The following is a 24,975-nucleotide window of genomic DNA, read 5'->3' as shown; positions in this document are numbered from 1 at the left end:
TACTCATCACCATCATGAAAAACTCATGAGCGTCAGACGCGCCACAGGGATTCCTGATCAGGTAATATCTGCTATTATTATGACAAGCTCCATAGAAAAATGTAGACAGCAGGGCAGAAAGACATTATTCTTTATAAATAAAAGGTTCATCTGTGCAATATTCACATTAGAAAAATATACATTGCTTGCCATAGACCTTCTCTGGATAAAATCAGACGAATCTAGGATCTGACTCCACTTCACTGTGAGGGCTCTGGCTCCACGGTGACGACCGACTCCACAGCTTCTAGAGGAACTCCTTCTAGCGGGCCCATCCGCAGGCACGCCCCTCTGCATCAGTCACTGTGACAATGTCCTCCTCCTGAGACACTATTGTACCTGGAGGGGACAAGATAAGCCCATCGGAAGTCTGAATAAAAATCTGCTTCTGTCCCTGAGACAGTAACTCATGGCTCCCATTGGAAATTTCAAAAGCCATGGCTTCGCCGACAGCAACCACGCTCTCCAGTTCTCTCTGGCCAGAGTGCACCTCCATCCCACAGGGGAACCGGTTCAAGTCCCCCGAAAGGCTTCTGAGACACCCTTCAGTCAATAGTGATCCATGTGGGCCAGGCTGAGGCCCTGGCTTGGGCACAGTCCTGTAGGCACAGTCCACTGCCACGCTATCCACAGACAAAATTTTCTCAAGCGGAGGGGCTGCCACCTCTGTAGGCAGGACGCTGGTGGGGCTGGGCTGCTGGTGGTTCAGGTGGAAGTCACAAACCTTGCCGAGGTGTCCTGCCTCTGCATGTCCAGGCCCCCCAGGCGGCAGGGACTCTGCTCCACCACCAGATGACAAAGGGCTGCAGAAACCCGGGCTCCTCAGGCTGTCCCAGGTGTCCTGGTCTGAAGAGTGTTCCAAAGCATTCTCTCCAGGAAACGCTGCCACCTGTGCCTGGGTCAGCCTCCTAGGCTCTCCTGACTGAGCATAAACAGGCAGCCCACTGACATCCCGGGATGAGAGAGCAGCACCTATAGACCCCCTCCTGGCTTCTAAGTTAGCCAGTGCCTGAAGCTGCGGGCCCGCCTGGAACACGCTCCCATTGCCACCAGAAACCGTCGTTGTATGGCTTTCTTCAGAACGGGGAGAGACAGTCACATTTACTGGAGGGGAAAAACCTAAACATTTTGGGAAACAGGTGAACATGGCGTGTACTGTGTCATGGCCCACTCACTGCACTCACCACCCAAAACCAGCTAGGCCAAGTCACCTGCCCTGCAGAAAAGTCAAAGCATCGATGCTCCTTGCTCCTTGGGATTGGTAGCAATTTTAAAAAATACGTCCCTATTCTCTATTCACAAAGACAGATTTTGTATTAAAAATATGCTCTAAGAGCCAATCGACAGTGTGCTTTTTTTTTTTTTTTTTTTTTGAGATGGAGTCTCGCTCTGTCACCCAGGCTGGAGTGCAGTGGCACGATTTCAGCTCACTGCAGCCTCCACCTCCTGGGTTCAAGCAATTCTCCTGCCTTAGCCTCCTGATAGCTGGGATTACAGGCATGCGCCACCATGCCCAGCTAATTTTTGTATTTTTAGTAGAGACAAGGTTTCACCATGTAGGTCAGGCTGGTCTCAAACTCCTCACCTTGTGAGCCACCCGACTCAGCCTCCCAAAGTGCTGGGATTACAGGCATGAGCCACCACACCCAGCAACAGTGATTTTATGCCAATACTGAATGAATGATTGGTGATTCTTCATCAGAGTGAGCTGGAGAATCACCCAAAGAGGCCTTTCCAAATACTCACATCCACACCCTCCCAACAACCCTACCTGCAGACCTGGAATTCCCAGAGGTCCAGGCCCCTGTATTTCACAATAACCTCCCCAGGTGGTTCCAACACATGCCCCAATTAAGAATCACCATCAGGCTGGGCACGGTGGCTGCTCACGCCTGTAATCCTAGCACTATGGGAGGCTGAGGCGGGCAGATCATTTGAGGTCAGGAGTTCAAGACCAGCCTGGCCAACATGGGGAAACCCTATCTCTACTAAAAATACAAAAATTAGCCAGATGTGGTGGTGGGCGCCTGTAATCCCAGCTACTCAGGAGGCTGAGGCAGGAGAATTGCTTGAGCCTGGGAGGCAGAGGTTGCAGTGAGCAGAGATCATGCCATTGCACTCCAGCCTGGGTGACAGAGCAAGACTCCATCTCAAAAAAAAAAAAAAAGGCTGGCGTAGTGGCTCATGCCTGTAATCCCAGCACTTTGGGAGGCCGAGGTGGGCAGATCACCTGCAGTCAGGAGTTTCAGACCAGCCTGACCAAAATGGTAAAACCCCATCTCTACAAAAATACAAAAAAAAATTAGCCGGGCATGATGGCGGGTGCCTGTAATCCCAGCTACTGGGGAGGCTGAGTCAGTAGAATTGCTTGAACCCAGGAGGCAGAGGTTGCAGTGAGCCGAGATTGTGCCACTGCACTCCAGCCTGGGTGACAAAGTGCGACTCCCGTCTCAAAAAAAAAATTTATATATATAATTTTTTAAGTGCCTAGTTGATAGGTTCTGGCTAGAGCCAGAATAAAAGCCAGGACCTGTCTTGTTTTCAAATGTTAAATCTCAGCTGGCATGTACAGCGAAGTCTCATGAAAGCCAAGCCATAGATGGATGTGTCCTGGGACCCGTCTCAGCCTAACCTCTTGGGACCCTCCTGGTATAGCCTGTTTACTACCATTTGGTGGCTCTCCTTTTTTTTTTGAGATGGAGTCTCACTCTGTTACCCAGGCTGGAGTGCAGTGGTGCAATCTCGGCTCACTGCAACCTCCTGCCTCCCAGGTTCAAGCAATTCTCCTGCCTCAGCCTCCGAAGTAGCTGGGATTACAGGCACACGCCACCACACCCAGCTAGTTTTTTTTGTATTTTTAGTAGAGACGGGGTTTTGCCATGTTGGCCAGGCTGGTCTCGAATTCCCGACGTCAGGTGATCCGCCCACCTCGGCCTCCCAAAGTGCTGGGATTATAGGCGTGAGCCACTGCACCTGGCCTGTGGCTCTCCATTTTAACAAGGCACTCTAGAAAACCCTGAAGACCTCAAGACTCGCAGGGAATGAATCTGGAATGACAGAACACTGGGAGGCTGGAATGAAACTTGAGAAACCAGAGGGTCCCCTTAAATCCAGCACAGGTCACCCAACCTGAAAAATGGCAATCCTGGGTACATCTGTGCATGTCAGCAGGGCTGCCAGGCCATGGATACACCCCACAAACAGCATTTTACCCTCACCAGCGGCCAAAGCATGCAAGGGCCTGGGCTTCTCCCGGCCTCTGCTGTTGGCAGCAAGAGATTCAGTGGTATCGTTGGACAGGGCTTCTCTTCTGGGCCTTTTCACTGAGGCCAGTCCCTCCTCCGCAGCCTGTGAAGAGAAGACCCAATCAGCTAGAATAGGAAGGAATAGGCAAACCGCTACCTCCTCTTCCTGGTGTGAACAGAAGAAGCCAAACCACGCTAATTCACCGTGCACAGTCACCTGGCACCCACTTCAGCCATGCCCACCTCACGTTCCCTCTTCTCGCTGCTAGCTCCCTCTAGCTGCTCCCCATCCATGTCTCGGCTGAGGTGCTTGGGTCCAAGGTTGTCTGGGTGTATTTCTTTCTTCCGTAGGAATTCTGTGATTCCTAATGACTCAGCAACCTGAAAAGAAATGGGCCAAGAGAATAAACTTCACCCAAACAGCACACACCCCCAGAAGCACATTCACATGCAAGAATTAAACGACTTCATAGAATTAAATCTACAAAGTTCCTCACCTACTGTGAGATGCCATCTCAACAATGAGAAAGATGAAGATCAATATAATGTTAGATGGACTAGCTGATGATAAAAATGGATTATAAAAACTAGAAGGTTCTATGTGAGCACAATTTAGAGGAGGAGACCAATCTTTTTTTTTTTTTTTTTTTTTTTTTTCTGAGACAGAGTCTGGCTCTGTCGCTCAGGCTGGAGTGCAGTGGCATGATCTTGGCTTACCACAACCTCCGCTTCCCAGATTCAAGTGATTCTCCTGCTTCAGCCTCCTGAGTAGCTGGGATTACAGGCATGCACCACCATGCCTGGCTAATTTTTGTATTTTTAGTAAAGATGGAGTTTCACCATGTTTGCCAGGCTGGTCTTGAACTTCTGGCCTCAAGTGATCCACCCGCCTCAGCCTCCCAAAGTGTTGGGATTACAGGCGTGAGCCACTGTGCTCAGCCCAGAACAGTCTTTACAAAACATTTAAAACACTCTCTTTAATGCTATCACGAGCTTAATAATGTTAGCTGATACCATAGTAACTTTCTTTCCCACTATCCCTCCTTTACTGACTTCTCACTGGTCTCTTGAGAAAAACGATCCTGCCTATCCCACACCCAGATCTCCCTTCCCAGCTGGTAAAAAGGCATGGGCTTGGGGGCCTGAGCTGGATCCCAGCTTCTCTGCCCATGGCCTGGGTGATCTTGGTGAGCCACCATCTCCTGAGTCTCCCTTGTCCATCTCCCTGACTTATCCAGACAAGAGGTTACAGCTACCTGGAAAGGCTTTTGTGAAGATGAGATTTGACTCCATATGCAATGCCTACGTAAACACCAGATGTGAAAGTGCTAAGAGACAGCTGGTATCATTTATACATGGATGTTATAAAGAGAACCCCACAGAGCATGAGATGGGGGTGGGCACGGCAGGAAGGGCGGCAGAACAAGGTTAAAGGAGAAAACGGGCCATGTGGGTTCTGCGCGGACCAACCTGGATGGTGTCCCCTCACAAACGGAGCCACTGTCATGCTCCCAAGAGGCGATGGCACAGTCTGAGCTGCTGAAAAAGCCGGATTCTGTAGGGCAGGCACAGTGTGTGTGTGCCGAGTTCCGCCTCAAAGCAGGATGATACCCACACTTGCTAAACTCAAGAGTTTAAAAAACACACAGGTGACTGCTGTGGAGGGCATCTACATGAGGCTTAGCAAAAACCTTTTACATTTTCATCATATGTAATTTAAGAAAATAAGGCAGGGCATGGTGGCTTATGCCTGTAATCCCAGCACTTCGGAAGGCTGAGGCGGGCGGATCACTTGAGGTCAGGAGTTCAAGACCAGCCTGGCCAATACGGTGAAACCCTGTCTCTACTAAAAATACAAAAATTAGCTGGGCATGGTGGTGCACACCTGTAGTCCCAGCTACTCAGGAGGCTGAGGTGGGAGAATCGCTTGAACCCAGGAGGGGAGGTTGCAGTGAGCCAAGATGGCACCATTGCACTCAAGCCTGGCTGACAGCGAGACTCTGTCTCAAAAAAACAAAAACACCCCAAAAAATCCAATGTAGCTAAAGGCAATTTGATAATAACAATGACACTGAAATGAGAATTGTGTCGGAACCACCACAAACAAAAATGAATGGCCCCTATATAATCCATCCCCAAAAACCCACATAAGGAAGAAAACAGGGCTAGGCATGGTGGTTCATGCCTGTAATCCCAGCACTTTGGGAGGCCTATAAGGGAGGATCAGTTGAGCCCTGGAGTTCAAGACCAGAGTGGACAACACAGCGAGACCCCTTCTCTACGAAAAATTTAAAAATTAGCTGGGCATGGTGACACACGGCGGTAGTCCCAGCTACTCAGGAGGCTTATGTGGGAGGATTGTTTGGGACCAGAAGGTTGAGGCTGCGGTGAGCTGTGATTGTGCCACTGCACTCCAGTCTGGGAGACAGAGGGAAACCCTGTTTCAAAACAAAAAAAAAAAAAGAAGAAAATGATACCTGAGGTTTTAACTCTGATCATCAGTGAGTGGGAAGATTATGGTGTTTTCCATTTTCTTCTAGCTTATCTTCATTTTTGAGTTTTCTGGAAGAGCATTTATTGCTTTAAGAAAAAAAAAACTGGGGACCGGATGTGGTGGCTCACACCTGTAATCCTAGCACTTTGGGAGGCTGAGGCAGGCAGACTGCCTGAGCTCAGGAGTTCGAGACCAGCCTGGGCAACACGGTGAAACCCTGTCTCTACTAAAATACAAAAAATCAGCTGGGCATGGTGGTGTGCGCCTCTAATCCCAGCTACTTGGGAGGCAGAGGCAGGAGAATTGCTTGAACCTGGGAGGCGGCAGTTACAGTGAGCTGAGATCACACCACTGCACTCTAGCCTGGGTGACAGAGCAAGACTCCATCTCCCAAAAAAACAAAAAGAAAAAAAAATTTTCACTTGATGGGAAAAAGCTAAAATGAGGTCGAACAGGAAAATGTCATTACTAAAAACATTCTCCTTCATACATGGAGTTTTTTTTTTTTTTGGTTTTGTTTTGTTTTTTGAGACAGAGTCTCTGTCACCCAGGCTGGAGTGCAATGGTGCAATCTCAGCTTACTGCAACCTCTGCCTCCTAGGTTCAAATGATTCTTGTGCCTCAGCTTCCTGAATAACTGGAATTAGAGGCATGTGCCACCACGCCCAGCTAATTTTTGTATTTTTAGTAGAGACTGAGTTTTGTCATGTTGGCCAGGCTGGTCTCAAACTCCTGACCTCAAGTGATCCACCTGCCTCAGTCTCCCAAAGCACTGGGACTACAAGCATAAGCCACTGCACGTGGCCCTTCTTTCTTCTGGCTAACTCTATGAGCAAAACTCTTTCTGCCATGGGAGATTGTTACCTTATCATTGTTTATTTCCAGGGTCTCCTGGGAACACAGACCAGAACTACTGAGGTAATCTTGGCACATTTTCTTAACCATTTTATGCAACTCTTCAAATTCCTTATATATAGCTGGGAAAAAAGGCTTTGCTAGATGATCTTTTTCAACCTTCGTGAAGATAAAGACCAAAAAAAAAGTTTAAACTCAAGGCACTGATATGGAAAATACAGAAGAAAATCTAAACAAAGTTTCGGTTCCTTAACCCCTCAGCAGCCCTCAGTGGTGTGCGTTTCCTTCAGTCCCCAGTGAGCACCTACTGTGTGCCCCGCATGGTGCAGAGAAGCCAGGATGGGCATGGGAGGAGCAGGCCAAGAAACAAACAAGCCCTGGGTGGGGGCCATGTAGGGCATGGGTGAGCTCCTGGACAGGGTGGGAAGGGAAGGCAGAAAGGCCCTGAGCCCCGGCTGGACTGTCAGCTCCAGAGGGAGTGTGGGGCACAGGCAGCCTGGGCTGCAGCCTCAGAGTGGGCTCAGAAGGAGCAGAGCCGCGGGCAGAAGAGGCCAGCTGGGGCGAGTGGGTTCTAGGAGAGCCCAGGATAGCCATTATTTGTGGCTGCCACTTCCATTCCTCCTGTACCAAGTTAAAAGTCAAGGGAGTAAACGGGCACCTGCCCGAGACACCCAGCTACCCAGGCAGCGGCCCCCACACCAGGCACGGTGTGTGACCAGCAGGCTCACTTCAGCTGTCCTGCAAAAGGAAAACGATTCCAAATGGCCTGGCTCTTTCCAAAACAACTATGAGCTGGGCACGGTAGCTCACACCTATAATCCCATCACTTTGGGAGGCCGAGGCAGGAGGATTACTTGAGGCCAGGAGTTTGAGACCAGCCTGGGCAACAAAGCTAGATCCCATCTCTACAAAAAAAATTTTTTTAAATAAATTAAAAATTAGCCGGGTATGATGGTGCATGCCTGTAGTCCCAGCTACTTGGAAGGCTGAGGTGGAAGGATTGCTAGAGACCAGCAGTTTGAGGCTGCAGTGAGCTACGATGGTGCCACTGCACTCTAGCTGGGCGACAGAGCAAGACCCTGTCTCAAAAATAAAATTAACAACTATGCAGGCTATTGAAAAATAATTAATAAATAATAATATTATTTCTAAATAACTTCTAATCATCCCGCTATCATTTAGAAACACTAAGAGTACTCACCTTCATCAGAAGAAACTCATACACGGTCACAACCTGAGCCAGCTGAGGCAGAGCCAATTCCACCAGATCCTCCCGGTCACACTGCTGGAGGAACTACCAAGGGAAAGCATTTCATGCCTTTGAATGTCCCGTAAGAATTTCCCAATAGCCAACAAGTTGGTGCAATATACAACATAAAAAACAGAAAGTTCTCCAAAAATTTCAGTGACCAAGTAACTCTAAACATTCTGCTTTATTAACTATTTCACCTGTTTGCTCCTTAATGAAGTACTATGATCCATTCTGGGTCCCCCATGACAAGCTCTGGGCACTGTCCTGGGCAAGGCCCTGGAATAAGGACACGGTGATAAGGAGATGTGTGTCCTGCCCTCCAGGACTCACCCAGGCTGCGCCGCATACTCAGGTGAGGGGGTGGCACAGCTGGAGGCGGCGCCTGGAGACGGGCAGGCCAGAAGGGCTGAAAGGCAACCCAGGCCCAGGCTGAGAGGGGCCAAGGTTTGGATTTCCTTCTCCAGGCAGCTGTGGAGGGAGGTTTTAGGAAGGTGCCTTGGGTGGTGGTGCAGAGGATGGGGCAGGGCTGGAAGCCTGGCAGGCAGTCAAGACTACCCCCACAGTACAGTCAGGAAAAGATGAGGACTCAGGTAAGGAGAGGGATGTGGGTGGCAGGGGAGGGAGATGAGGGGAGAGCATAGCCCTCCAGGCTTAGCGACCACAGGACATGGGGAGGAGTGAGTGAAGGAGAAAGTCAAGAATGGCTCTGGGTTCCCAGCTTGAGCCTGGGGTAGGCGAAACGGCCCCTGACAATGCAGGGGTGGACAGAAAGCCAGCTTGTGGGCTCTGCTCAGACATGAAAGGCAGAGGGGTTCACAGGACAGCCAGGTGGAGATGTTTCAATGAAGAGATCTGAGGCACCAGAGAGAGGTCTGAACGGGAAGCGTGGGAGTCTGTAGAGGGAAGAAGGCCTGGGAAACCAGGAGGACGGTGAGATCCCCAGGGAAGCAATAAAGTGAGAGGGAAGCTGAGGAAGTCCTAGAAACAGGAAGTCTTCTGAGGTCCAGGGAGATCACAAGATCAGTGCTTAGAAGGCCAGACGCAGTGGCTCACGCCTGTAATCCCTGCAATTTGGGAGGCCAAGCCAGGAGGATTACTTCAGGGTAGGAGTTCGAGACCAGCTTGGACAACATAATGAGACCCTGTCTCTAAAAAAAATTAAAAATCAGCTGGGTGTGGGGGTGTGCGCCTGTGCTGTGGGTCCAGCTACTCGGGAGGCTGATGCAGGAAGATCAATTGAGCCTGGGAGGTGGAGGCTGCAGTGAGCCATGATTGAGCCACTACGCTCCTGGGTGACAGAATGAGACCCTCTCTCAAAAAAAAAAAAAAAAAAAGATTGGCATTTAGAGAGAGAGCAAGAGATTGAGTAGGAGCTGCAAAGGGCTGGAAGGGCTTCAGAGGAGGGCCACAGATGCTCGCAAAACAAGCAGAAAAGCTACAGAAAAATCTTTTCATTATAAGACAAAAATGTTTAATTAAGACTTTCAAAAATCTTTTGAAAGAAGTGGCCAGCTGACTTTCAACTCCACAGGAAGTGGGAGAAGGTGGGAATATGGGATATTACCTTGCCATGGCCTGACCTAAATTCTGTATGAGCTTAATAACAGCAGACAGGGAAACTCCACAATTTTCTGCTTAACACTTAGGTTCAACTGACAGTTTTTTTTGTTTTTGTTTTTGTTTTTGAGACGAAGTCTCGTTCTTGTCCCCCAGGCTGGAGTGCAATGGCACGATCTTGGCTCACTGCAACCTCCGCCTCCTGGGTTCAAGCGATTCTCCTCCCTCAGTCTCCCAAGTGGCTGGGATTACAGGCGCCTGCCACCATGCCCAGCTAATTTTTGTATTTTTAGTAGAGACAGGGTTTCACTATGTTGGTCAGGCTGGTCTCGAACTCCTGACTTCAGGTGATCCGCCCACCTCGGCCTCCCAAAGTGCTGGGATTACAGGTGTGAGCCACCGTGCCCGGCCTCAACTGACAGTTTTGTCAGATGACTGGTTTGACTGTCCTGTTTCTCCCCTAAGAGCCGAGCCCTGTCTATCTTGTGCACACTGTCCCCTCCATCCCTAGAACAGGGACTGATACTTGATGGACACCCAGTAAATGTATAAATTAATATCCATTTCTGGAGAAATTATCATCTGTAAGTCAAGAATGGTTCTGAAGGCCGGGCATGGTGGCTCATGCCTGTAATCCCAACACTTTGGGAAGCCAAGGCGGGTGGATCACGAGGTCGGGAGTTTGAGACCAGCCTGACCAACAAGGTGAGACCCTATTTCTACTAAAAATACAAAAATTAGCTGGGTGTGGTTGGCAGGCGCTTGTAATCCAAGCTACCCAGGAGGCTAAGGAAGGAGAATCGCTTGAACCTGGGAGGTGGAGAAGCACAGTGAGCCGGGATGGCACCACTGCACTCCAGCCTGGATGACAGTGTGAGACTCCGTCTAAAAAAAAAGAATGGTTTTGAAAACCACTTCCGTTGTTTTCTAAACTGCTTCCATATAAACACAGGTTATAATTATTCCAAAACTTATCAAGTCAAGCAGCTTTTGGAGCTGCACCAAAGGCTGTACAGTCACTTTAAACAGGTAAGAGTACGAATTAGTTCAGATATTACTGTCCTTGGCATCATCACACACTTAATGCAATGACATTTCAGGTGAACTGCTTAGGTGATTCAGAAACTGATAGTGATTGCCACATCCATGCTAAAGACACGGGTTTCAAGCACAGGGTTTAAGAGTGAGGTACCTCCTTGAGCCTGGCTTTGCTTGGCGACGCCCTCTGCTCCCCTGCCGCAGCAGGGCCACCAGGTAGCTGAGCAGCTCTTCTCTGCTGGAGGACAGCTGTGCGGGACTCTGCAAGGGTCTCTGAGCATGCGCGTCTTCTAGGTCCTTGGTATCTCTCTGATCGCAAAAGAGCTCCATTTTCTGGTTCAGATGGCAATGTCTCTTCAACGTCTACAGACTGACCATTCTAGACAGTGTTGCACACCCAAAAGTAAAATAAAACAATCATGCTTTATATACCCCATAAAAACCTTTTAGTGGCCGGGCGCCGTGGCTCACACCTGAAATCCCAGCACTTTGGGAGCCCAAGGCGGGTGGATCATTTGAGGTTAGGAGTTTGAGACCGACCTGGCCAGCATGGTGAAACCCCATCTCTACTAAGAATACAAAAAATTAGCCAGGCGCGGTGGCGCGCGCCTGTAGTCCTGGCTACTCGGGAGGTTGAAGCAGGAGAATCACCTGAACCTGGGAGGCAGAGGTTGCAGTGAGCCAAGATGGTGCCACTGCACTCCAGCCTGGGTGACAAGAGGGAAACTCTGTCTCAAAAAAAAGAAAAAAAAAGATTTCTCTGATGTGACTGTCATTTTAAAACCTGACCTGAATTTTGTTCCTAATTCATTACGTATCCATGACTTTTTAAACTTTTAAATTATTTTACTGGATAGATTTAAAATACCATAAAATTCATCCTTTGAAAGTACATAATTCAGTGGATACAAAATATTCGCGAAATTGTGTAACCATAACCACTATCTAATTCCAACACAGTTTCATCAGCTCAGAAAGAAACTGTACCCATTAGCAGTCACTCCTCCTCCTCCCTCCCGACAGGTCCTGGTAACCACCGGTCTACTTTCTGTCTCCATGCATCTGCATGGCTTTTGAAGAGAACCCTAGATCTGGCCTTGTCCTCATGTCCTGTTTCCTCATTCCCTGACAATTCCCTCCTCTGAAAACAGGAATAATAACGTAGAAAAATAAAATAAAGGCCAGGCGTGCCCGGTGGCTCATGCCTGTAATCCCAGCACTTTGGGAGGCCGAGGCGGGTGGATCACCTGAGGTCAGGAGTTTGAGACCAGCCTAGACAACACGGTGAAACCCTGTCTCTACTAAAATTACAAAAATTGGCCAGGTGTGATGGTGCACACCTGAAGGCTGAGGCAGAAGAATCACTGGAACCCAGGAGGTGGAGGTTGCAGTGAGCTGAAATCGCACCACTGCACTCCAGCCAGGGCAACACAGTGAGACTCTATCGCCAAAAAAAAAAAAAAAAAGAGCGGGGAGCAGTGGCTCATGCCTGTAATGCCAGCACTTTCGGGGACTGAGGCAGGTGGATTGCCTGAGGTCAGGAGTTTGAGACTAGCCTGGCCAACATAGTAAAACCCCGTCTCTACTAAAAATACAAAAAATTAGCTGGGCATAGTGGCAGATGCCTGTAATCTCAGCTACTAGAGAGGCTGAGGCAGGAGAATCCCTTGAACCCAGGAGGCAGAAGTTGCAGTGAGCTGAGATCATGCCATTGCACTCCAGACTGGGCAACAAGAGCAAACCTCCGTCTCAAAAAATAATAATAAAAATTAAAAAAAGAGAGAGAATTATAATAGAATACTAAATACTACAACACTGAACAACATGAATAACCTAAATGAAATGGACAAATTCCTACATACACAAAACCTGCCAAAACTAAATCACAAAGAAGTAGAAAATCTGAGGCCGGGCGCAATGGCTCACGCCTGTAATCCTAGCACTTTGGGAGGCCAAGGCGGGCAGATCACCTGAGGTCAGGAGTTCAAGACCAGCCTGGCCAACATGGTAAAACCCTGTCTCTACTAAAAATACAAAAAATTAGCTGGGCATGATGGTGGGCACCTGTAATCCCACCTACTCGGGAGGCTGAGGCAGGAGAATCGCCTGAACCCAGGAGATGGAGGTTGCAGTGAGCTGATATTACGCCATTACACTCCAGCCTGGGTGACAGAGCAAAACTTCGTCTCAAAAAAAAAAAAAAAAAAAAAAGGTTATCTCTATTTGCAGATATGATCTTATATGTAGAAATGCCTAAAGATTACACACACACATACACACACACACACACACACAAATATTAGAATTAATAAATGAGGCAAGGTGCAGTGGCTCATGCCTATAATCCCAGCATTTTGGGAGGCTGAGGTGGGCAGATCACTTGAGGCCAGAAATTGGACACCAGCCTGGCGAATATGGCGAAACCCCGTCTCTACTAAAAGTACAAAAATTAGCCAGGCATGGTAGCACACGCCTGTAATTCCAGCGACTAAAAAGGCTGAGGCAGGAGAATTGCTTGAAACGAGGGGGCAGAGGTTGCAGTGAGCTGAGATCACACCACTGCACTCCAGCCTGGGCAACAGAGTCAGACTGAAAAAATAAATAAATAAATAAATACACAAAATCAGCTGCATTTCTAAACACTAGCAATGAACAATTTGAAAAGAAAATAAAGAAAATAATTCCACTTAAAATCTAGCAATTCCACTTCTGGATATATACCCAAAGAAATTGGGCCGGGCGTGGTGGCTCACGCCTGTAATCCCAGCACTTTGGGTGGCCAAGGCGGTGGATCACAAGGTCAAGCGATCGAGACCATCTTGGCTAACATGGTGAAACCCCATCTCTACTAAAAATACAAAAACTTAGCTGGGCGTGGTGGCTCGTGCCTGTAGTCCCAGCTACTCGGGAGGCTGAGGCAGGAGAACGACTTGAACCCGGGAGGTAGAGGTTGCAGTGAACTGAGATCGCGCCACTGCACTCCAGCCTGGCGACAGAGCAAGACTCCATCTCAAAAAAAAAAAAAAAGAAGAAAGCAGGGTCTCAAAGATGTAATTGAACATCTGTGTTCATAGCAGCATCGTTCACAATAGCCAGAAGGTGAAAGCAACCCAAGTGTCCACTGACAGATGAACAAGCAACGTGTGATATGTACACACAGTGAGATATTACTCAGTCTTACAGAGGGAGGACATTCTGACACTTACTACAACATAAACCTTGGATATCGTGCAAAGTGAAATAAGCCAGCCACAGAAAGACAAATACCCTGTGACTCCACTTCTATACGGAAATTAGAGTAGTCAAGATCATAGAAGACAGAAAGTCGAAGGTTGGGGGAAAAGGGAATGGAGAGTTGGTGTTTACAGGGACAGAGTTTTAGTTTTTTTGTTTCTTTTTCACTTAGCCCAACGTGAAGCTCGGAGTTTTAGTTTTAGAAGATGAAAAGAGTTCTGGAGATGTGTGGGGGTGATGGCTGCACAACACTGTGAATGTGTTTAATACCCCTGAACCACACACTTAAATATGGTTAAGATGGTACATGTCATGCTATGTGTTTTTTTACTACTATATGTGTGTGTGTGTATACATATATATATATATATATATATATATATATATATATTTTTTTTTTTTTTTTTTTTTTGAGATGGAGTTTCACTCTTGTTGCCCAGGCTGGAGTGCAATGGCATGATCTCGGCTCACTGCAACCTCCACCTCACAAGTTCAAGCAAATCTCCTGCCTCAGCCTCTCAAGTAGTTGGGATTACAGGCATGTGCTACCATACCCAGCTTATTTTGTATTTTTAATAGAGATGGGGTTTCACCATGTTGGCCAGGCTGGTCTCGAACTCGTCACCTGAGGTGATCCGCCCACCTCGGCCTCCCAAAGTGCTGGGATTACAGGTGTGAGCCACTGCACCCGGCTCAATAAAATATTTTAGAAAAAAATTTTTTGATGTGATAATGCAAATTCATAGCGACTCACACCTACTTTATCAGGAGTTGCAGAAGCAGCAGAAGGGGGAGAGGACACGCTAAGCAGCCAGGAGCTGTTGACACTCCAGAAGCACCCCCAGGGACTCCTTTTCTCAACACCCTCTGTAATGGCAACATCAGCCAAGAGCGCACTGCCATTGGTTTTACTGACCAAACCTAGAGCTGACGGATGCATTCCCATGAGATGTGCTCACTAAATCATCCTAGCACACAGAAGACACACATTTCCTGGCCTGTTTGGCAGCAGTGCAGACAACGTGGGGGTCTCAGATCCTCCACTAGAGTGATTCTGGTCCCGCTACAGCCTTCGCCTGAATCCCCATCAGATCAGACACCATAAGGGTCAATGTAAGGATGATGAGCAGGCAGGGGCAGGAACTGGGACTGATTTGGTTTGAATCTGTGTCCCCACCAAATCTCATGTTGAAGTGCAATCTCCAAAGTTAGAGGTGGGACCTGGTGGGAGGTGACTGCTGGATCATGGGGGCAGAACCCTCATGGCTGGTTTAGCATGACAGTGAGTGAGTTCTCATGATATCTGGTTGTTTAAAAGTGTGTGGTGGCCAGGCGTGGTGGCTCACACCTGTACTCTCAGCATTTTGGGAGGCTGAGGCAGGCAGATCACCTGAGGTCAGGAGTTCAAGACCAGCCTGGCCAACATGGTGAAACCCTGTCTCTACCAAAAATACAAAAATTAGCCAGGCGTGGTGGTGGGCGCCTGTAATCCCAGCTACTTGCGAGGCTGAGGCAGGAGAATCACTTGAACTGGGGAGGCGGAGGTTGCAGTGAGCCAAGATCAGGCCACTGTGCTCCAGCCTGGATGACAGAGCGAGGATCCATCTCAAAAAAAATAAATGAGTGTGTGGTACCTCCCCCTGCCCCTTGTTCCTGCTGTGGCCATATGAGGCGCCTGCTCCCACTCTGCCTTCACCGTGACTCTGTTTCCCGAGGCCTCCCCAGAAGCTAAACAGATGCCAGCACCATGCTTCCTGTACAGTCTATGGAACCGTGAGCCAACCCTCTTTTCTTTATAAAATACCTGGTCTCAGGTATTTCTTTATAGCAATCCGAGAACGGCCAAATAAAAAGACACATACCCAGACAGAAACATTACCTGCAGGCCACCGCGTGCTGACTCTGTCACCAAGCAGGAGCGGGCCCCTCCCTCACATGGATCCGCTGGCATGGACAGCCCCAGGGAGGTCAGGCTGAGCGTCCTTTCCTCCGTGCACCCCCGGAGGGTGCTTCCACTGGCTTTCTCAGACAGCACCATCTCGGGGTCCAACTGGCCGTGGCCTGGGTTAAGTTTAAAATGTCGGGCCAGTCCCCCCTTCCCTATATATGACTTTTCACAAGTCTGACACTTAAAGCTTTTGGGCCTCAGGGAGCAGCTCGATAAGTCAAAGAGTGCGTGCCTCTCCCTCTGATCTTCATCTTCTTCCACACAGAGTTCTGAGTAATCATCAGAATCTGACAGATGACCATCCGCCAGATCCTCTGTTTTTATGAACTTATAATCTTTAGCTTTATATTTGGGAGGTCGAGATACCCGTCCAGAACGTGTCTTTACTTTTAACGATTTTTTTAGTTTCTCAGTATGTCTTGTATGCAAGTTGGAAATAAATGGATGTGCTGAACTGGATGAAAGAGATGTTACTGCCAGCGGGTCAGAGGCAGACAAAGGGGTCAACATGGAGCCCTGTTCATCTGGAGCCTTGGGGGCTGGGACTCTCTTTGCAGGGACCACCTGGAGGGCTGGCAGTGGTCTCTGTACAAACCCCTGAGCAGGAGGTTGGCATAAGTCACTTAGGAAGCAGGACTGTGGCTCGGTTCTCACAAGCGGCTGTACCCTGAGCAGCTGAGGGCTGGCGATATGGAGCCCCACCAGGCAGGAATTCCCCCGGGGCAGCTGGCTCTTTCTTGCAGTTTGGGGCTGGATTGTGGTCGGTAGGAGCATTGGCCTTTCCTGACCTTTTGTTTCTCCAGACGTTACCTTGACACAAATGGCTTCTAGTTGCTTACGTACAGAAAGACAAGAAAGAGAAAAGAAGCATTGTGCTTATGAACATGTCTGCAATTTCAGTCTCGTCATAAAACCATTATTGACATTTTTTCTAAATTACATCTTACATATAAAAGTTGATGTAATGTGTTTGTACTAAGGTGGTATTTTCCAGACCTTTCTGACCAGAGACCACAGTGATATAAGCTGGGCTTGGTGGCTCACACTTGTAATCCCAGCACTTTGGGAGGCCAAGGCAGGCCGATTACTTGAGGTCAGGAGTTCGAGACCAACCTGGCCAACATGGTGAAACCCCATCTCTACTAAAAATACAAAAATGAGCTGGGCGTGGTGATGCACTCCTGTAGTCCCAGCTACTCAGGAGGCTGAGGCATGAGAATCGCTTGAACCCGGGAGGAGGTTGCAGTAAGCTGAGATCGCACCACTGCACTCCAGCCTGGGCAACAGAGTGAGACTCCATCTGAAAAAAACAAAAACAAAAACAGAGACCACAATGATACATTTTACATTATGACCTAGTACACGTGTATATAAATATCTGCATACATAAATAAAATAAAGTTGATGGAACTACTTACCATCCCTATATAAATGCCCGCTGATTGTATCTATTCTACATCATTTTTTTTTTTTTTTTCTGAGATTAGGGTCTCACTCTGTCACCCAGGCTAGAGTGCAGTGGTGCGATCTCAGTTCACTGTAACCTCTGCCTCCCAGTTTCAGCGATTCTCTCATCTCAGCCTCCGGAGTAGCTGCCACCACACCCAGCTAATTTTTGTATTTTTTGGTAGAGACGGGTTTCACCATGTTGGCCAGGCTGGTCTCAAATTCCTGACGTCAAGTGATTGATCCACCTGCCTTGGCCTCCCGAAGTGCTGGGATTTCCAGCGTGAGACACCACGCCCAGCCCTATTCTACATCACTTTTTAAAAAATACTAGTCATAATCCACTAAGTTGATTTCATGACCAGTGAAGAGATAAGAGCCTTCCTAACAGTTTTACCCATGTGAGGTTTTTCTTTTTCTTTTGAGACGGACCCTTGCTCTGTCGCCCAGGCTGGAGTGGAGCGACACTATCTTGGCTCACTGCGACCTCCGCCTCCCGAGTTCAAGCAATTTTCCTGCCTCAGTCTCCCAAGTATCTGGGATTACAGGCACGTACCACCACGCCCCGGCTAATTTTTGTATTTTTAGTAGAGACAGGGTTTCACCATTCAGGCTGGTCTCGAAATCCTGACCTCTGGCGATCCACCTGCCTCACCACACCCGGCTGGCTTTTTGTTTGTTTGTTTTTTTGAGATGGAGTCTCGTTCTGTCGCCCAGGCTGGAGTGCCACCACAACCTCCACTTCCCAGGTTCAAATGATTCTCCTGCCTCAGCCTACTGAATAGCTGGGATCACAGGTGTGTGCCACCATGACCAGCTAATTTTTTTTTAAGATGAAGTCTCGCTCTGTGGTCCAGGCTGGAATGCAGTGGCGCTATCTCAGCTCAGTGCAACCTCTGCCTCTCAGGTTCAAGCAATTCTCCTGCCTCAGCCTCCTGAGTAGCCCTGATTACAGGCGCTTGCCACCACACCTGGCTAATTTTTGTATTTTTAGTAGAGACGGGGTTTCACCATGTTGGTCAGGGTGGTCTCAAACTCCTGACCTCATGATCTGTCCGCCTCAGCCTCCCAAAGTGCTGAGATTACAGGCATGAACCACCGTGCCCGGCGTTACCCATGTGTTTTTGCTTGGAGTTTTTAGTACTCTAAAAGCAGACGTAATTCATAATGTGGGCCCATGTTTTTTAAAAAGTTTTTAATGAAATTCTGGAAGCGACAACAAAGCCATAAGGAACAATGTTACCCAGCTTCCTACTGCACAACCTGCATGCCTGTTTCTTCACCCTGTCCTGAATGTGCTGTTTAGCATTCTTATGATTTTAAAAATTTATGTGGCATATGCAGATATTTCTAAAAATATATAGTTCAGTTCTGAAATGTTTTTAAACTTTATATAAATGATATCATCTCCTGCAACTTGAAAGGGCTTTTCTGGGTTTCTTTACTTCATTTTGCTTCGTGAATTTTATCCACATTAACATGGGTAGGTGTCACGGGTTCATTTTCTCTGCAGTATGAGTACACCAGTCTCCTATTGATGGACAGGTGGTTTCCAACCTTCTGTTCCTAAGTTCTGCTCTGAATCTTCACGATGTATGTGTATACATGTGTGACTTTCTCCAGGGGCATGTACCTAGGCGTAGGGCTGAGTATCTTCAATAACTTTTTACAAATATATCTAACAAAATTTCAAATACATGTGCTTTTTGACCCAGTAATTCCATTTCCTGGATTCTATAAAAAAAACACGCAGGTGGCCACAAAGATGTTCTGTTCTACGAAGTTCAGGGCAGCACTGTCTATAATAGCAAAACACCTACCAAAGGGGAGAACTACCTTCAATAACACCCCACAAATATTTATTGAGCACTGACCGCGTGCCAGAAACACTGTTACAGGTGTCAGGGAAACAGCTGTCTTACAGCTTAGGGGAGAAGGACGGGGAAGCAAAAGAAACAAGGCTCCCGCCCTCACAGAGCAGAAATAATGAGCACTTTCCTCCAGGGAGAAAAAGAGGCAAACCTCATCATCCAGAGCACGATTTCCCAACCAACATTTCAGAACATAATCCTTTGACATGGGTGGCTGGAGGATGGCCAGCAGCATCTCTGCCTCTACCCACTAGATGCCAGTAGTGATCCCGAGTCCTGACAATGAAGACATTGCCAAGTGCCCCCTGTGGGGCAAAACTGCCCTCGGTTGAGAATCACTTATTTGGGACGACCAACTGGCCCTCTTTGGACTCAACCTTCTGGTGTGACCCTCAAACAGTGGAGCATCAACAAAAATGTCACACAGGACAGAATAAAGATCCTCACTGAGATCAAGCTGGAGTGTGTCTCTCGTCTGTCTGTTATACTAGTACAAATAGCAGAGGTCAGCCAACACTTTGTATGAAGAATTGTAGAGAGGTGGCACCATAGCCCTGGGAGTCCCCGACTCCTGGGCTACTTGTGAAACAAATGACAACGAGATTGACTGCGCATATCCTTCAAGAACCCCATCTCTTTCATTTTACTGCCAGTCACACCTGTAATCGCAGTGCTTTGGGATGCTGAGGCGGGAGGACTGCTTGAGGCCAGGAGTTCAGGGCCAGCCTGGGTAACATAGCGGGACCCTGTCTCTACAAAACATTTTTAAATTAGCCAGGCATGATGGTGCATACATGTAGCCCCAGCTACTCGGGAGGCTGAGGTGTGAGGATCATTTGAGCCTGGGAGTTCGAGGCTGTAGTGAGCCGAGATCAGTCCAGCCTGGGTGAGAAAGAAAGACCCTGTCTCAACAAAACCCCAAAACAAAAACATAATACATATACATACATACACTAAACCCTACTGTTTGAGGATAACCACAGCGGCAAAGCCAGACTAATAATGTATTTATCCTCTATCCTCACTGGCTTACCCTGTGGGTATTATGCTTGATACTTTGTTTAGTTAATTCAGCTAATGTTAACTCAGTATTTCTGGGTGGAATACATACACAGGAGCCAAGTCCTAACCTCACCCTTGAGATGGGGGCGGTTTCCCCTGCCATACCTCAGTCCCCGCAGACCTGCTGAATCGGATCTCCTGGGGTGAGGCCCCAAGATCTGCCCTTTCAAAAGCTCCACTGATGATTCTGAAGGCAGACAAGCTTCCCTAAGGAATGCAGACAGGTGAGGCAGACAGGAAAAATGTCATCATGGTACAACAGGTGCAATCAAGAGGCAGGAACAGCCCAGAGGTGGTGGGCTGCCCAGAAGCTGTGATCTCTGAGGGGCATTTTGAAGGCTGGGAATTTTTGCCAGGTGAAAAAGGGCACACATCCATGTGTAAATGCACGGATGCATGAAAAGGGGCACAGCATGTTGGATGGAACTGGAAATTTCTGTGGGGTGGGGAAGAGGGAGGATGGGGAGAGACAGGGGCCTCGATCTGACCCAAGTGTGTCCATTGGTCTGTGCTGCTGATCCACACCACCCCCACAGCGAACACTGGGCCTTCTGCTGTGGTTGTTGAAATGCACCCCCAACCGCCCCAGAACCTGCCTCTCCCCTTCTGCATTTTCAACTCAGACGCACCCTTTCAAATCTAGTTCAGATACCACTTCTTCAACAAAGCTGCTTCTGATGTCCTCAGCCAGGAACAATCTCCCTTTCTCTAAATACATTCAGTTCTTTTTCACTATCTTTAGCTTTCTGGCCTTGACTAGAAGTTATCTGGGTCTTGTTTCATCTCCTGTTAGTTCATAAACTACTGAGGGGCAAAGTACGCATCCGGTTTGCCTTTGTGGCCTCCATGACACAGCTGGGGCTGAAAGAGTATTAAAAGAATGTGCTGCAAAGGTATATTATTGCAGGTAGAATTTATATCGTCTCCATTAGATTAGCTACAAAATACAATCCCATCATGCTGCCTAAGCTCGAATAAGTTTGCTTTTGCTTTACGAAAAATATGTCATTTTTGGATTCCAAACCCAAAAAGCTGTGGCCATATTCAGCAGGGTATGGTGAGGAGTACAGGGGCTAGGGAGAGCAGCCACACCTGAGGGACCTTGGGCAAAGCCACGCAACCTCCCTGAGCTTGTTTCCCACCTGCAAAATGCCGGTACAAAAACACTGCTGAAAACTGAGCGGCCCCGCACAGCGCCGGGCGCAGAGCAGAGGCTTTGCAGATAGCTGCCCCCAGATGGCACCTTGCAGCCTTCTGACCCAGACCAAAGTCCAAAAAGGTTGACTTACCCAAGGTCACACCTCTAGATAGTGATAGTGTGGCATCTGGACAGAATCACACTGGTCTTCCTAAACCTTAGCAAGACAACTCTCCAGTCTTGATGATTAACTGGATACAACCCTAAGCAGCTAACATCAGTCAAAAAAACTCAACGAGTGAAGGTTCCTGATTCTATTCCCTAACCCGTTTCTTCTAGTGGAAAAAGCTGTCTTCTTTTGGCAATTTTGGGGTGAGACTAATTTTGTTTACAACCCCAGCGCTGAAATGGGGTGGAATTTTACAGATGCCGTGTAGGCCCTCTGGCTTCAGGCGCTATGCTTCACCCTCCGGAGTTGGGCGACCGTCTTCTAGTTATCACCCCCCTAGCAACCAAAAGGTGTGTGGCCCAGGAAATAAACCCACTGGGAAAGGATGTTTTGTAGTATACAGAGTGCTTTCACATATTCCAAACATTGTGTATCAGGCACTGTGCTGGGTACTGCGGTTACAAATCAGTCACTATCACCCAGGATGTTAAGTCCTGCAGCGAACTAGTGTATTGTGCTTGACTTTGTTCCAAGCCTGGGCCTTGGCACCTTACAACTGAAAAGCTAAGTTGGTTCCTTTTAATTCATTTATGTTTCAGCTCCAGTGTCTGGCCTACGGGACCACCCACTCTAAAGCAGCCCCCGTCAATCCCAGAACCTGCCTTATGTTCGTTCTTCAGCAAGTGTGTTCAAGGCTTCACCTCCTGCACATAGTGGGGAGTGCTGGGAACACGGTCTCTAAGTGCTCCACAAAGGCTGAACCAGCGGTGAAAGGCCTGTAAGAAGAGCTAGGGAGCACGCAAAAGCCCCCAGCAGGGCTGTGAAGGCAGAGAAGGCACGAGGGCGTTCCAGGCACAGGGCCCAGCGTGAGCAACCGCTCCTAGAGTGAGGCTCCTGGGGTGAAAATGCCAGGGTGGTGACAGGTGGGGGCCGAACGCCGTCCCTAAGAAGCTCAGCCTGGGGACGCCCTGAGTCTTAACCCGGGCGGATACTGGCCTCCCCGGACAAGCAGCTACCCCGCCGCGGGGCGTCGGCCCCCTTCGGGCCTCAGTTTCCCCACGTCCCTCCCGACGCCTCACCTGGGGCGGGAGCAGGCGCGGCAGGCGCGGGGGCTCGGTGCCCCGGCCCCGCTGCAGGGCGGCCTGTTGGGCCGCGTCCCGCAGCCGCCGCGCCGCGTCCCGCAGCACGAAGGGGGGCGGCGGCGGCGGCGGCTGCGCCTTCGTCACCTGCTCCAGGACCTGCCGCAGCTGCTCGGGGCCCAGCGGGGCCACACGTGCGACGCTGCCGCTCTGGCCCGGAGGAGCCGGGCCGCCGCCGCCGCCGCCATCCTCGCTGCCGCCCCCAGCCTCCGGCTCCGCATCCGCCATGGCGGCCGAGGCGGGGACTCGAACCCGGGTCGCTGAGCGACGGCGTCTCCAATGTACGTCACCTAGGAGAGGGGCGGGCTACGAGTGCCTCGCAGGCCAAGACACCTAGGAAGGCGACCGTGTCTGGCCGGGAAAGTCGTGGAGTGCCCCGCCCCAGCCGACAACCGCCGCGGCTCTTAGGGCTGATCAGCAGAGCGGACCCCCCTTATTTTCCTTATTGCCTGTCACGGATGTGTTTAAGACTCACCTTCTCTGGGAGCTGTCCCGGATCTCCCAGGGGGAGGTCTTCGGGGTTTCAGAGCCCCTGGCCCAAAAGTTACCACAATATCCAAGTGTTCTGACGTCATCATGCATCCGAATCAGCGGAGGATGCTGTCTGGAGATGCAGAGTACTGTGCCCACCCCTAAACATTTGGATTTATACATCTGGGAGGGGACCACAGTTTGAATTGTTAACGAGAGTGTTTCCCAAATTTTTGCCTTGTCACCGTAGCTTCTCTCTACCCACCCACCCAGATTGGGTGCACCTTGAAGGGAGAGATGATATATTACACAATCGGTGCCCAGCACAGGCCCTGCCCAGAACACAACGCACGCTCAGGGCATGAATGATGGATGGATGAATATGAATAAACGAATGAGTGAACGAATGAATGAACCCACCCTCTCTCTATCCATCCAGCTCCACTGCCCCATCTTCCTCAGCCTGATCGCCTCTCCTTCTTACGGTTGAGGCTCTGTGCGCCCTCCGAATCTTGTAGCTGCAGGTGTGTACACATGTCCCAGCTCCTTTCCCCAGGGAGAGCAGGAGGTCCACTGGTCCACAAACCCTTCTTAAGCACCTGGTGGGTGAACCGCTGTTTCCGCCCTGGGGGGTATACAGTCTAGGTGCCGACCCCCAAGGAGGAAACTTCCCAAGGGGGAAGGAGGAAACTGGCATTTGCAGCACAGTATGATGAGCGCCGAAGCCGGTAAAGTAAGGCTGGCGGCCTGGGTGGCGTCAGAGAAGGTTCTGGAAGATCACCACCATCCTCATCAATACTCACATTGCATTCACGATGATCCCTTCCGTGTTATTTTTTAATGGTGAATTTTATATTATGGGTATCTTACCACAATTTTTTTTTTTTTTTGAGACAAGATCTCACTCTGTCACCCAGGCTGGAGTGCAGTGGCACAATCTCAGCTCACCGCAACCTCCATCGCCTGGGTTCATGCGGTTCTCCTGCCTCAGCCTCTTGAGTAGCTGGGATTACAGGCGTCCGCCACCATGCCTGGCTAATTTTTGTATTTTTAGTAGAGACGGGGTTTCATCATGTTGGTAAGGCTGGTCTTGAAACCCTGACCTTAGGTGATCCGCCCGCCTCGGCCTTCCCAAGTGCTGAGATTACAGGTGTGAGCCACCACACCCGACCAGATTTCAGGAATTCACATGCCTTCTGCTCAAAATAATTTTCATGCCACCGTGGCATATTCTAAACCCCTTCAAGCTCAGGAAACTTGAGGGCAGCAACCTCCACCGATTCCTCCATGCTGTGTCCCTGCATCTAACAACGTGCCTGGCACGACTATTAAAAGATGTGACATCCATCCTGTGTACAGATGTCTATTTTAAGTGTCAGCTGCCCCAGGCTCTCCTAACTTTGCTTATAATAGCAGCAGCGCCATCGGCTGGCATTTATTGAGAACTTTTACTACACCCTGGGCACATACCAAGGTCTGTAGATGTTGAGCTGCTTCTTATTTAGGTCAGAACTAGTAGCTGTTTCCACTGTAGAATTTTCAAAAACAGGTGGAGCCCTTGCCGGATCCTGACATAAAATGGCATCAACCTTATACAACCGGCTTTTGTTCAGCTGAGCACACCTGACCACCCTAGAAACGAACCGAGTGAGAAATTCATCCACTTGCTCTGGCTTCAAAATGTAGAACCAAGAGGAAGAAATGTGAAGCCTAAGATGTCTCCGAAAAGAAAAGAGGGGGGACAAAAAGCAAGAGAAGGTTTCCAGAGGCTTCCACAACCTGAATGCCTCACTAAAAACATGGCAGTCATCTAGTGGCTGGTCACTGTCTCCAGCGGGTTGGGGTTTGTGTCTCACCGTTTTGCTCCCAGCCTAGGAATGGTGCTGGGCATGCAGTAGCTCTCCATATGCATCTGTGGAATGCATTCATTCCAGACCTGGATTTTCACCTCCAAGACTTCCCCGCAAGTGGGCCCAGGGAACACTAGGCGGTGATATCTGCGAGCACCTGTCTTCAC

The 24,975-nt window shown here is 49.1% G+C and overlaps 1 protein-coding gene across 24 annotated transcripts, besides 3 other annotated features; it reads right to left on the bottom strand.

The window, feature by feature from the left end:
- Positions 1-113: 113 nt before the first annotated feature.
- ZNF839 (zinc finger protein 839) lies at positions 114-24,975 on the bottom strand. 24 transcript variants are annotated; one of them, NR_169567.1, is made up of 10 exons: positions 22,428-22,735; positions 22,011-22,136; positions 20,147-20,248; positions 15,594-16,496; positions 10,635-10,859; positions 7,835-7,927; positions 6,643-6,792; positions 3,528-3,665; positions 3,258-3,387; positions 114-1,158 (listed from the first exon to the last, which is right to left on the bottom strand). NR_169567.1 is itself a non-coding variant. In NM_001267828.2 (9 exons), exons 3-9 carry the CDS (start codon positions 16,434-16,436, stop codon positions 302-304), a joined length of 2,436 nt encoding a protein of 811 aa, NP_001254757.1. In that variant the 5' UTR covers positions 16,437-16,496; positions 22,963-23,141; positions 24,815-24,975; the 3' UTR covers positions 114-301. The 24 variants fall into 24 exon arrangements, 19 of the variants coding, with proteins under 19 accessions (NP_001254757.1, NP_001372004.1, NP_001371998.1 ...); NR_169568.1 differs by lacking the exon at positions 20,147-20,248 and having other exon boundaries at positions 22,011-22,124; NR_169569.1 differs by lacking the exons at positions 20,147-20,248; positions 22,011-22,136 and adding an exon at positions 5,762-5,846.
- Positions 22,116-22,225: an enhancer, noted in NCBI's record as "active region_9070". NCBI's record gives its function as "activates an Ori minimal core promoter by ATAC-STARR-seq in GM12878 lymphoblastoid cells {active_cell/tissue: GM12878}" and the evidence as "EXISTENCE:reporter gene assay evidence [ECO:0000049][PMID:35858748]".
- Positions 22,326-22,515: a silencer, noted in NCBI's record as "silent region_6113". NCBI's record gives its function as "represses an Ori minimal core promoter by ATAC-STARR-seq in GM12878 lymphoblastoid cells {active_cell/tissue: GM12878}" and the evidence as "EXISTENCE:reporter gene assay evidence [ECO:0000049][PMID:35858748]".
- Positions 22,576-22,675: a silencer, noted in NCBI's record as "silent region_6112". NCBI's record gives its function as "represses an Ori minimal core promoter by ATAC-STARR-seq in GM12878 lymphoblastoid cells {active_cell/tissue: GM12878}" and the evidence as "EXISTENCE:reporter gene assay evidence [ECO:0000049][PMID:35858748]".

This window comes from Homo sapiens, chromosome 14 (genome assembly GCF_000001405.40).
Source record: "Homo sapiens chromosome 14, GRCh38.p14 Primary Assembly".
NCBI lineage: Eukaryota > Metazoa > Chordata > Mammalia > Primates > Hominidae > Homo > Homo sapiens.
This window is presented reverse-complemented; position numbering and strand designations above follow the sequence as displayed.

Excerpts from the sequence above, each read along its gene's own strand:
- ZNF839 (XM_011536945.2), bottom strand. The coding sequence starts at position 22,715 with ATGGCGGATGCGGAGCCGGAGGCTGGGGGCGGCAGCGAGGATGGCGGC. Across the intron at positions 20,249-22,427 it reads CGCGCCTGCTCCCGCCCCAG|GGAAGCTTGTCTGCCTTCAG; the intron begins GTGAGGCGTCGG and ends TGCATTCCTTAG. Across the intron at positions 3,666-6,642 it reads TGGAAATAAACAATGATAAG|GTTGCTGAGTCATTAGGAAT; the intron begins GTAACAATCTCC and ends ATTTCTTTTCAG.